The sequence below is a fragment of the Homo sapiens genome, chromosome 5 (genome assembly GCF_000001405.40).
Source record: "Homo sapiens chromosome 5, GRCh38.p14 Primary Assembly".
Classification (NCBI taxonomy): Eukaryota; Metazoa; Chordata; class Mammalia; order Primates; family Hominidae; genus Homo; species Homo sapiens.
The window spans coordinates 172,141,752-172,154,401 of NC_000005.10; the positions used below are offsets into that span (position 1 = coordinate 172,141,752).

At 51.1% G+C, this 12,650-nt stretch overlaps 1 protein-coding gene across 3 annotated transcripts in view, besides 4 other annotated features; it reads right to left on the reverse strand.

The window, feature by feature from the left end:
* STK10 (serine/threonine kinase 10) overlaps nucleotides 1-12,650 on the reverse strand; it is a 146,146-nt gene that overhangs the window by 99,673 nt on the left and 33,823 nt on the right. The gene's annotated exons all lie outside the window — the stretch shown is intronic.
* Nucleotides 2,455-2,955: an enhancer, noted in NCBI's record as "H3K4me1 hESC enhancer chr5:171571210-171571710 (GRCh37/hg19 assembly coordinates)". NCBI's record gives its function as "activates a minimal SCP1, AML or CMV promoter by ChIP-STARR-seq in primed H9 embryonic stem cells {active_cell/tissue: H9 hESC(primed)}" and the evidence as "EXISTENCE:reporter gene assay evidence [ECO:0000049][PMID:30033119]".
* Nucleotides 9,057-9,116: an enhancer, noted in NCBI's record as "active region_23623". NCBI's record gives its function as "activates an Ori minimal core promoter by ATAC-STARR-seq in GM12878 lymphoblastoid cells {active_cell/tissue: GM12878}" and the evidence as "EXISTENCE:reporter gene assay evidence [ECO:0000049][PMID:35858748]".
* Nucleotides 9,127-9,336: an enhancer, noted in NCBI's record as "active region_23624". NCBI's record gives its function as "activates an Ori minimal core promoter by ATAC-STARR-seq in GM12878 lymphoblastoid cells {active_cell/tissue: GM12878}" and the evidence as "EXISTENCE:reporter gene assay evidence [ECO:0000049][PMID:35858748]".
* Nucleotides 9,821-9,996: a silencer, noted in NCBI's record as "fragment chr5:171578576-171578751 (GRCh37/hg19 assembly coordinates)". NCBI's record gives its function as "represses an EF-1alpha promoter that drives an FKBP-Casp9 reporter gene in an ReSE screen in phorbol 12-myristate 13-acetate-treated (for megakaryocytic differentiation) K562 erythroleukemia cells {active_cell/tissue: K562(+PMA)}" and the evidence as "EXISTENCE:reporter gene assay evidence [ECO:0000049][PMID:32094911]".

Consider the following 12,650-nt stretch of genomic DNA (forward strand, 5'->3'; position numbering starts at 1 on the left):
TATGCGCTCTCAGAGGGTGTCTGATGGGGGATGTCACAGCAGCCTGTAATCGCCGGCTTTCTTCTCTGGCTGAGGGCCAAAGGAAACTGGACACCTGTGTTCCATGACCCCCATCAGTTTAGATCGAGCAGCTGTCGTGGTGCCGTGTAAGGGTTGGGGCCTTGCTACGGGATCCTGGCAGGCCGCAACACCTCTAAGGTAACTCGTCCATTCATTCATAAATTTATCAGGCACCTGCCCTGTACCAGGCATTGTTTTAGCCACTGGGAATACAGCAGTGAAAAAACAGTTTCCATCTCCTGGGAGTTCACATTCAGGAGGCCAATCTATGGGTCTGGATGGTTATCTCCACCTGCTAGGCGGGGATAAATGAGACAGCACACGTCACACACCCAGCATTAGACCTGCACACCTCAATTTAAGTAATTATTTGCCTTTTTGGCCCAGTGTCCACTTAGAGTTGCCGTGGGACTGATTACTACACAAACGTCTTTAGAGCTGTGCAAATTAGGAATCAGCTCAATATTGCTTAGGACTGACAGAGCTAGGATTTTAAAATCTCTCTTCTCCACCAGACCAGCCCTCTGGGAATAAATATTGACACCAAAGTGCTGTGCCAAGTTGATTTCCACCCTTCTAAGTAATGCGCACAAAGAGAACCCGATGTGTGCAGGTGTTCTAAGGTTTTACATCATGTCCTCAACATCCCCACAAGGCAGGCAGTTAGCAGTTTAACCTGGGCCAACCTCGGTATCCCTATCTACGACACCTAATGCAATTTGAGAGCTTACTCTGTGCCGGGCCGTATGCTAAGTGCTTTCCATGGATTATCTCACACTCACTATTTGAGGTAGGTATCCTAAAAAATGCCTGGACCTCATAAGATTTATTGTGAGGATTAAGTAGGATAATGTATGTCAGAACAAAAGACATTGCCTGGTACATAGTAAGTCAATGCTTGATAAATGTTATCGAGTATTACCAGCACTAGGTATTATTGTATTCCCATTTTACATATGGGGAAACTGAGGCTCAGGAAGATTAAGGTCACAGATAAGTGGCAGAGATCTAAGCACCCCATCCCTCCTCATGCCTCAAGGAGGAAGCCACAAACAGGCTGGGTCACAGCCCCTGGGTGGGTGGGGGGAAAGGCCCCTCTGCTTCTTTGCTCCAGCCCTCTCTGGGCCCTACTGGTCAGCACACACATACCAAGTGAGCTTGCTCACCAGAGATAAGGAAGCCAGGATGTCCCAGATAAGGGTGAGCCTGGACCACCCACAGGGTTTAGACATTAACTTTTACAGCGTATAGGCAGTAGGACCAGCAGGAATTGGGTTGGCACTGTCACAGCCCCAGCTGTCCTCAAGAAAAAACCGAGTGCTAGGCGCAGTGGTTCACGAGTTCAGGAGTTTGAGACCAGCCTGGGCAACAAGGCCAAACCCTGTCTCTAGTAAAAATACAAAAGTCAGCCAGGTGTGGTGGCACATGTCTATAATCCCAGCTACTCGGGAGGCTGAGGCAGGAGAATAGCTTGAACCGGGAGGCAGAGGCTGCAGTGAGCCGAGATCGTGCCACTGCACTCCAGGCTAAGCAACACAGCAAGACACTGTCTCAAAAACAAAACAAAAAAAAAGAAAGAAAGAAAATTAAGGCACTTTGACTCCAGAGGTGAGGCATCAACACGCAGTGACCACACCGTGCTCTGGGCCTGGATCCCCTCACCTCCCTGGGCTTTCCTGAGGCCAAGAGCATGTCCTGGGTACACAAAGGTGCTCAATAAATAAATGTTAGCAAAACTCCTAGAACTCAAATTAAATAAGCCACAGCCAGGAGATGTGGACATGGTCCTGGGTCTGCCACCATCCTTCTGTGGGGCTGTCCTGACCTCTTTCCTGCTCTGAGCCTCCGCTGTTTTCCCATCTGGAAAATGAAGCTCTCAACAGCAATAAGGTCATTTGCAACATGGACTATGTAGGTTCAAAGTGAGCGAAGTCACTTTATCCTTGAAGAAGCAGTTTACATCTAAAAAAATTCCCTTCATACGATCCAATATCAAAGCCCGGGACCTAGTACATCATCATAAGTGTTTGTTGAATAAATGAATGAATAAACATGAATGAAAAAATTCAGTAGCCTTAAGATGCCCAGAAATCAGGGGCAGAACAGCCAAAAGATGGCTAACAGAGATGACAGCCAGATTGTGCAAACGAAGCAGGACAAAGGCAAGCCAGTCCCTCCCTCTACTGCCAACCAAGAGAGAAGAGATGATGGCTGCCATTACTGAGCCGCTAGTGCATACGTGGCATGGCGCTAAGTGTTTGATAAGCATTCCTTCACTTAATTTCATAAGCAATACAAATATTCCTGTTTTACAGATGGGGAAACTGAGGTTTGGTGGGGGAAGGGGCTTCCCCAAAGCCACTCAGCTAATAAGTGACAGAACCAGAGTATAGACCAAGGTCAGTCTGACTCCAAGACACACGGACAGCCTAGCTGTGTAGCCACGGGCAAGCTGCTTTCCCTCTCTAGGCTTGTTTCTTCCTGCGGAAGCAGAGGTAGGCATGACCATCAGCCCCCCAGGCCTCCCTGCACTGAGAGATGCTGTCAGTGGGGCGGTGCTGGGAACCTCCTTAGCCTCTCCAATACAGCACAGAAGACAAAAGTTATCCAACCAAGGCCTCTGCCTGAGAAGCAAGTCCCTGGAGGCAGACACCAAAAAACGCAACAGTCAACACAGAAATGTCCTTAGCATATCTGCAGCCAGCTGCTGTGGGTGGAGTCCCAGAATCTCCCCATCTCTGAGCTCCAGGCCAAACAATGCTGCCATTTACTAGGCAGCCTACACCCCCAGGCCTCCCAGGAACGCTGGGCCAGGCGTGTTCCTCCACCCCCAGCCTCACCCACCACATTCGAAGGAAGCCTGGGGAAGGAATTAGGACTGCCCTTGAGCAGGGTGAACTGAGTTCACCCATGGGCAAGGGCATCTGGAACAGAGGGAGTGACCTTGAGGTTCCTAAGCGTGTACGTGCCATGGGGCCGGGTGGAGGGAGTCCTGCCGAGGCAAAGGGGAGGGAACATCTAAGGGATGACTTAGATACCCCCCACCCCCTTTTACAGATGAGGAGACTCAGGTGGTTGCACACCTAACTACGCGTGCCCAAGTCCCAAGGCACCTCAGGATGGAACCAAGGCGACTCAATTTCAGGGGACCTAACTCCCTCAGGTACTATCTGGCCCACAGGTCGCAAGCACTGGCTCTGGGGTCAAAGTCCCCTGAGCTTGAGTCCATCCCATCTTCCAGAAATGCCAAGATCAGGGCTAAGATCAGACTCTGTGCAGATGCTAACCGGACTTCAGCCCTAGCGGAGAGACAAAGGCAGTTCTGTGTCTGCAGGGACATTTTTCATCCATTTGACCATCTGTCTCTCTGGCCACTGTTCTCTAAAGCCAGCTCTGCTAAGGACAGTGCTGGACACAAAGGGGAAGGAGCCAGGCCCATGCCCCTGCCCTGAGGAAAGTGACCCCCAAGGAGGAGGTCAGGAGATGGACTCACAAATCCCAGGACAAGGGTAAGAAGGGACAGGGAAAAGCACACCAGCTGTTGGAAGGCGGCACATTCAACTCAAATTGCTAAATGTTTTGTAACCTTTCAGTTGGTCCTTGAGGGACAGGTAGGAGTCAAACCAAGGCGGCGGGGGTGGGGCAGTGTGGGGCGGTGGCCACTGCAGGCAGAGCACGCGCTGGCCCGCTCAGAGCCTGCTCAGAAAGCCAGGGAAGAAGCACTTCCCTAAGGGCAACCCCCAGCCTTCCCGGATTCATTAGTCAAGGGACATATGTCTCCAAAGAACCAAAGCTCCCACGTGAACCAAGGTGAGCACTGGGTTTCCACTCTGGAGCCAGACACACCTGGGTCCCAATTATGGCCGGACACTAACAGAATGACCTTGGGACAAGTAACTTCGGAGATCCAAGCCTCAGTATGCTCATCTGTAAAGTGGGGGTGATGGTAGAGGCTGCCTCCCTGGTTGTGATCACATGGGATCACACAGGGAAAGCCTGTAGCTCAGAACCTGGTGTCCAGTGAGTACAGCACAGCCATTAGTAGCATGTCCATGCTGTGTCCGTGCTGTGTCCATGCTGGAAACCGAAATCACCATCCATAGAGACAGCCCTGCACCAGCGCCTGCCCCGTGCAAGGCTGGAGAAACAACAGGTGTCCTGGGCAAGCTCACACCTCCCACAGGACAGTAAAACACTGCGCACACACACACACTGTGTGGCGTCCATCTGTTGTCCACAGCACACGTCACCAACTCACGTCACCAACTCACATACTATACGCCTTACTTTTATTGTCTGTTGTCTGCCTCCCCCTCCTCCCTGCCCCCTGTAGAATGTAAATTTCCAGAGGGCAGGCCTTCGTGTCTGTGCCCCAGCACCTAAACTGCCGGGCCCACAGCCGGTGCTCCCCGGGGAAGCATGTGTTGGTGAGTGAATGAATGACTGAGTGAATCATTGCTACCCTGTCTAAACGAGGGAGGTGGGAGGCCAATCACATGAGATCATGCATGTGGAATGCCAGACACAGGTAGGTATTATCATGACGGGGACAGAGGCCACGATAGCTGCAACTGCTAAAGGTTCCACCAGAGACAACCCACTCCCAAGGCCAGGAAGAAGGAAGCAGCTCAAGAAACACAAGGAAAACGGAACACAGCCCCACAGCCCCCTCTACCTCCTTTGTCTCCACACTCCTTCCCACAGCACTGGAATCATCTGCTCCTATCTCATACAGGAAGGAGCATGAATCCAGAGTGGTCACCTGGCCGGGGCAGGACAAACCAGGGAGCATGTACCTATGTAGAGGGGCAGCCACACCCAGCCTGGCGCACAGAGCCTGCGAGGGAATAGGGCCCGTGGGGCCAAGTCAGATGTCTGGATTCTTATATGAAAGGTGTGGATGTATAAAGGGCCACACCAATTCAAATAGTACAAAAAGCTTGCTGTTGAGGAATAACTTTCAAACCTTGTTTTTCCTCTGTTCTCACACCACAATCATCAACACAGAAGACATCTGTGACCAAATGTGGGGGTTTTCCCCACACACAGGCAGTGGACACCAGCTGTGTGTATTCCGATTCAATTCCGACACTATCTACCGGGAGACAGCGTCAGATCTCACAGGCTGAGGGCTCAGGCCCCGAGACTGCGCCCTCCACCCCACATACCAGTTGCACGTCGAGGCCTCTGGACCTTCTGAGATACTGGCTTCCAGTTGGGGTTCCCACGAACCCTGCTTTGAATTTGGTTAATTTGCTGGAACTGGCTCACAGAACTCATGGAAACATTTACTTATGTTTACTGATTCATTATAGAAGATATTACAAAAGATACAGATGAAGGGATGTGTATGGTGAGGCTGGGGGAAGGGGCAAGGGGCTTCCATGCCCTCCCTGGGTACACCACCCTCCAGGAAGCTCCACCTGGTCAGCTGTCCAGAGGTTCCCTGAACCCTATCCTCTTGGGATTTTATGAAGACTTCGTTACACAGGCATGACTGACAACCGTGTACAGAGACGTGATTGGAAAAAAAAGTGCACGGTCTAAACCCAGCAAGACCTGCTGCTCAGACTTTTCTTTCTTTCTTTTTTTTTTTTTGAGACAGAGTCTTGCTCTGTCGTCCAGGCTGGAGGGCAGTGGCACAATCTCGGCTCTCTGCAACCTCTGCCTCCCGGGTTCACGCCATTCTCCTGCCTCAGCCTCCCGAATAGCTGGGACCACAGGCACATGTCACCATGCCCAGCTAATCTTTTTGTATTTTCAGTAGAGATGGGGTTTCACCATATTGGCCAGGGTGGTCTCGAACTTCTGACCTCGTGATCTGCCCGCCTTGGCCTCCCTAAGTGCTGGGATTACAGGCGTGAGCCACTGTGCCCAGCCTCAGACTTTTCTTGGCCTCTCTGTGTGGCATGCCTTCCTATAAGACCCCTCTGGAATCGGTCTCTTGACCCACAATCAGATTAGAGTCCTGCCTTAGGCAGGTGACAGGAGGACAGGAGAAGGTCAAAGAGAGAGACTCTGTTTCCTGGGGCCTGCTCCTGAGGCCTAACTCACCCAACATGATAACAAAACATTGTAATAAGGGCTATGGGAGTTATGAGCCAGGAATTGCGGATGAAAACCAATATACATGTGATCGTATCACACCTGCCATCTGCGTAGCCTGTGGGCGTGGTTCACACATCTGTTGGCTGATGTGGACTATGAGCAACACGCCTGTCCTGCTAGTTAAGATGCCTGGCTTGGAGTCATACCATGAAAGCCACGAGCAGGTCTGGGACCCTCCTACACTGCTACTGTCTGCCAGCTGGGTTTCCAACCCTGGACACACTGTGGTGATCAGCACTATCATCCCCGACGTCCAGATGAGAAGCCTGGAGCTCAGAGGCACGAAGAGGCGTGTCTGGGGTCACACAGCAGGACAGGGTGCAGGCAGATTCCAATCCCACTCTGTGCATGATCAACTGAAGGAATGAGGGTGTGAGTGACAGGGTGGGGGGCAGAGGGAAGCAGGGCTGGGAGGTGCCCGGAGAGTACTAATGCAGGGGAAGGACAAGGTCAGATGGTGCACTGACCTGACAGGAAGGGCTACATGGACGTGCTTGGTGACATGGTGGGCGAATCCTGGAATGACAATCACCCTTGCTCCTCTGCATGTGAGATAGACAGCCCAGGCCGGCTATTCCAACAGCGGGATCCCAGCAAAGCCCTCAGTTATCCACCTGCTGCTTCACAGCTCCATCTGCTCTGGGCCACCAACCGCACCCGGGTCACTGCCCAAGGGAGCAGCTGGACAGGTCCCCCGGCACAGGCCTCCTCACCACCAAGCCCTGCCAAAAAACATTCTGCCGGACGATGGCCCCTCAAGTGGAAGGGTGGGGGTCACAGATTACATCCTTTGAACTGTTCCCAGTGATGCCCAGAGCCTGGCACCCAGAGAGGGGCATTCCAGGGGGCAGGAGAGAAGGCTTTGGAGCTAGGCAGACCTGGGCTGGAGCCTGGCTCTGACATGTGGGACGAGCCTCTCCACTCCACCGTTCTAACCCTTGGTCTTCACATCTGTAAAATGGGGGTGACAACATCTCAATCTCGAGCCAGGCGTGGTGGCTCACGCCTATAATCCCAGCACTTTGGGAGGCGGAGGGAGGCAAATCGCTTGAGTCCAGTAGTTGGAGACCAGCCCTGTCTCTACAAAAAATACAAAAATTGTCTGGGTGTGGTGGCACATGCTTGTAATCCCAGCTACTTGGGAGGCTAAGGAGGGAGGATTGCTTGAGCCTGGGAGGCAGAGGTTGCAGTGAGTTGAGATCATGCCACTCCACTCCAGCCTGGGTGACAGAGCAATACAAAAGCAAACAAACAAAACTCAATCCCACAGAACTGTGAGGATTTGGTGAGATAGTCAGGAAACAGCCCACCCGGCACAGGCCTAGCACAGAAAACATTCCTGACGAGGCCAACTATCCACATCATCATGTTGCTGCCTCCTTCCTTTTGTTACCACCCCCTGCCTCCTGATTCACCCTCTAGGCCAAGGAGCTGCCAGCCTCCTCCCCCACTTTCCCTCCCTGAGCCTTAGGGTGTCTGTCCCCTCTGTAAAATGGGCATGTCGATACAGTAATAATACACCCACCTCCAGGGCTGCAAAGCCTGTGCAGACTTTAAAGTGCTTTACAAAGTGCTCGTGTGTGTGTGTGTGTGTGTGTGTGTCTGTGTGTGTGTGTGTGTGTGTCCCAACAACCGGGTGCCCCAATCCAGAGAGAGGGCAGGGGTTGGTGAGTGCCAGGGAGCCCGAGGAAGACCAGGTCCCCACGGCAAATGGAAAGGGTTCTGGCACCCAAAACTGCCAAAAAGGGCTGCCCCAGGCCAGGTGACCACAGATCCAGACTTCAGAACTGCAGAGATACAAGGGCCAGGATAAAATGGGCAGACTCCGTTGAAAGACCTCCTTGGGCCGGGCGCGGTGGCTCATGCCTGTAATCCCAACACTTTGGGAGGCCGAGGCGGGTGGATCACCTGAGGTCAGAAGTTCAAGACCAGCCTGGTCAACATGGTGAAACCTCGTCTCTACTAAATATACAAAAAATTAGCTGGGTGTGGTGGCAGACACCTGTAATCCCAGCTACTCGGGAGGCTGAGGCAGGAGAATCGCTTGAACCCAGGAGGCAGAGGTTGCAGGGAGCCGAGATCGCGCCATTGCAGTCCAGCCTGGGCAACAAGAACAAAACTTTGTCTCAAAAAAAAAAAAAAAAAAAAGAAAGAAAGACCTCCTTGGGATCCTCCCTTCCAAGCCCCTAGAGTTATGGATTAGGAAACAGAGGCCCAGGAAAGGAAGCTCATCTCGGGTCACACAGCCAGTTGGTCCCAGGCAGAACTCAGGTCTCCTAGGCTGGGCATGGTGGCTCACGCCTGTAATCCCAGCACTTTGGGAGGCTGAGGAGGTTGGATCACCTGAGGTCAGGAGTTCAAGAACAGTCTGGCCAACATGGCGAAACCCCGTCTCTACTAAAAATACAAAAATTAGCCGGGTGTGGTGGTGCATGCCTGTAATCCCAGCTAGTCGGGAAGCTGAGGCAGGAGAATCGCTTGAACCTGGGAGGCAGAGGTTGCAGTGAGCCGAGATCACGCCACTGCACTCCAGCCTGGGCAACAAGAGCGAAACAACACCTCAAAAAAAAAAAAAAAGAAAGAAAGAAGAACTCAGGTCTCCTGATTCCAGCCCCAGATCCCTTCTGCCACACTGAACAACTTTCTAAAGTACACAGCACTGTCAGCTACTTCCGGGTGTCACATTCTCTTTACAGTTTTGGCTGTTTTGAGGTCAGATATGCAATCTCTGTCAATGACCAAGGGCTGGCCTCTGAGCCCAGGACTACAAGCCACAAAAACCCTGGCCAGCAACGTGTGGTCATATGGGGACACATGTGGACAGCAGGCTCATCCCATCCATGCCCTGCTCTTGATCCTGGGACCAGTACTTCCTCTTTACAGAATGCTCAGTTTGAGGCAAGAAGCCACACTGAGAAAGGCCCACAGTCACTCCTTCAGGGAGGGTAACCACGGCGCCAGCCAACTTCCTCATCAGGAAGTCTTAGGGAGCGTTCTTGGGCTGGGCCACCCCAAAGGGACTTTGGCTGCTCGCGACAGACCCCTGCCCCACCAAGGGCAGGCACGTCCTGTCTCCTTTCATCTCCCCAGTGCATATCTACCATGGACAGATTTCACACCAGGCCCCGTGCCGGGGACCAAAGAGAACAGAAAGTGAAGGAGAGGCACGATGAAGGTGACAGCTGATACTTACCGAAGTTTCTGTGTGCCCAGCCCTGTTATAGACCTTTTCTATTTGTAAACAACTATTAGCTCAATTATTCCTACAGGCACTACTGTGAAGATCCCCATTCTACAGTTGAGAAAACTGAGGCACAAGGACAGAAGGAATTGGCTCTGGTCTCACAGTAAGTGGCAGGCAGGAGACGGATTGCGAACCTGCAGGCTTCAGAGGCCGACCTTTGCGTTTTTCTTTTTTTTCTTTTTCTTTTTTTTTTTTAATTGAGTCAGAGTCTCACTCTTGTCACCCAGGCTGGAGTGCAATGGCACAATCTTTGGCTCATTGCAACCTCCACCTCCCGGGTTCAAGTAATTCTCCTGCCTCACCCTCCTGAGTAGCTGGGATTACAGGCACACGCCACCACGCCCGGCTAACTTTTGTATTTTTAGTAGAGACGGGGTTTCACCATATTGGCCAGGCTGGTCTCAAACGCCTGATTCGTGATCCACCCACCTCGGCCTCCCAAAGTGCTGAGATTACAGGCGTGAGCCACTGCGCCCGGCCCACTTCACAATTTTATATCCATCCTGATCACTGCTGGAGTTATGTGTTCATGCGCTGTTAGTTGTCTCCCACATGTAGACTGGAGGCTCCATGAGGATGAGGACCGTTTCCCTCTTGCTCACTGATGAATCCCCAGCCCCCACCATGGGGCCTTCCACTTAGTAGCTGCTCAGCAGCATGTGCTGCAGACAGTCTAGCCTCGGTTCACGTTACTCTGCCGCTCTCCCTCCACCACGCGCCAGCCGCAACACCTTCTGTGGGGTCCTCTGCAGACTCCTGCCTCAGGGCCTGTGCACTTCTGATTCCCTCTACCTGGCACTTTCTGCCCCCACACATTTGGAGGTCTGCCTCCATCTGGTCTTTTGGCTCTCAGCTAAAATGTCACCTCATGAGAGAGGCTTTCTCTGTCCATCGTGTTTACAGCACCTGCTCCTGACCCTACCCAGGAATGCCTACTGCATTTCCCCACTGATTTTTCTTCCACTCACTTGTCACTTGCCCAAGTCCTCTCATCTACTTCTTCACTGGCCTTCATACCGTCTGTTTCTGCCACTAGACTTTGAGCTCCGTGAGGCCAGAGGCCTTCCCAACTCTGTTAATGACATCGAGTTGGTAGCTTGAAACTGATCAGGTGGACATATGTGCATTCAGAAATGGGCCAAATGCCAGACACCAGAGCTTTTCTTCCCAAAGAACTCACTCTTGCTCCTGTAATACATGTTGGAAAAGAGATCCCCCGGCCATTGAAAGATTTGCCCAGAGACCAAAATCTGGCTCAGGGCTGGGGGTGGAGGATGGGGGTAGCTATTAGCAGAGGACATTCACGAGGTCAGCCCAGGCCTTCTTGCAGTCACTCATTTTGGGCCCTGGGAGTCATCTAGAGCTTCACTGTCTATGCCGTCCAATATGGGAGACACTAACACATGTGCTACTGAGTGTTCGAAATGTGGCGACGGTAGAGACCTAAATGTATTATTCCATTCTCTTCTAATTCATTTAAATTTGAAAACTGAGACTTGGTTCAGTTACTGGGAAACGTTTAAGAATGTTGGAACAACTTGGGTGTGTGAATCTACCTTTCTCAACTGTAAATTTTATGACATCTAAACACAGATCAAGGACTTCTGATGAAAATTTAGCTCCCAAATTTAGATGTGTTAAAAGTGTAAAATATACACTGGACTTGAAGACTTAGAATGAAAAAAAGTAAAATAGCTCAATAACTCTTTCAATGGATCACATGTCAAAATGATCATATTTTTATACACTGGGTTAAATAAATTATATTATGGAAACTAATTTCATCTGTTTCTTTTTGCTCTTTTGGATGTGGCTGTTAGAAATGTAAAATTATACATATAGGCCTGGTGCAGTGACTCATGCCTGTAATCCCAGCACTTTGGGAGGCTGAGGCAGGCAGATCACCTGAGGTCGGGAGTTCAAGACCAGCCTGACCAACATGGAGAAACCCCATCTCTACTAAAAATACAAAATTAGCCAGGGGTAGTGGTGCATGCCTGTAATCCCAGCTACTCAGGAGGCTGAGGCAAGAGAATCTCTTGAACACAGGAGATAGAGGTTGTGGTGAGCTGAAATCGCGCCATTGCACTCCAGCCTGGGCAACAGGAGCAAAACTCCATCTCAAAAAGAAAGAAAGAAAGAAAGAAAGAAAGAAAGAAAGAAATGTAAAATGATGCATGTGGCTCACATTATAGTTCTACTGGTCTAGAGCATTTTGGCTTGTTTTTCTCCAACTTGCACCATTTGATATTCAAAAGCAGAAGTAGTGATAAGGAAGCACAGACGGATTTTGCCATGATTACAAATTCTGAACAAAAATGAGCTAATCTTGTCAAATTGCACATGGGGTGGTGTGGTGAATGACCTCCACCCCACTCGGGGGAAAGTCTGTCCCTGTCTGCCATGGCTACAGAAGGGACCTAAGACACTTGGGGAACAGCCAGTTTCTCATCCCAAAGTCCCTGAGAGCAGACCCCAGGTCCAGAACTGGTTTTGTCAAAGATATCCACATGGAAAAGTGGGCTCCTAAAGCCACAGGGGCCCAGGCCTGGTCACAAGATGCGCCTGAGAACCATCACACAGAAGGAAATATCAAAGGGTTGGTGCATCCTTCAACCTGTATCTCTGGACTTCTCCCTTCTACACTTTTGCCCATTTGCTGGTCCCTCTACTTTGACTGTTCTTCCTTCTCTTATCTCCCCAGAGGACTCCTATGCATTCTGCAAGACCCCGTTCAAATGTCCCTTCCTCTGAAGCCTCCCCTGACCAGATGATGTTCCACATCACATCCTTGGGCTTCTGGCCTAGTCTATTCTTACCACTTCTCAAACTGCCTCCACGTTTTTCTCTTGTCCTCTCAAACCTGACTTCTTTCTGTAACACAGAATATGCCTCTCCCCTGCAAAAAAGTACCACTGGGTCTCCATTACCTAAAACAGTGATTCTCAAGCTTAAACGAGCATCAGAGTCACTTAGATTGCTGGGCCCTACCTTAAAACGCCAATTGCTGGGCCTCACCTCAGTTACTGACTCAATGGGCCTCAGGAGGGGCCTGATAACCTGCATGTCTAACAAAGATCCAGGGTGTGCTGATCCAAGGGTTGTACTTTGAGAACCACTGCAGTAAAAGATGGAGGGATAAGTCTTCACCTTGGCATGCAGGGCCTTCTACAACATGGCCCCCAATTACTTTACCACCCTCATCTTTCACCACATGCTGCCCTGGCCCTAGACTAGC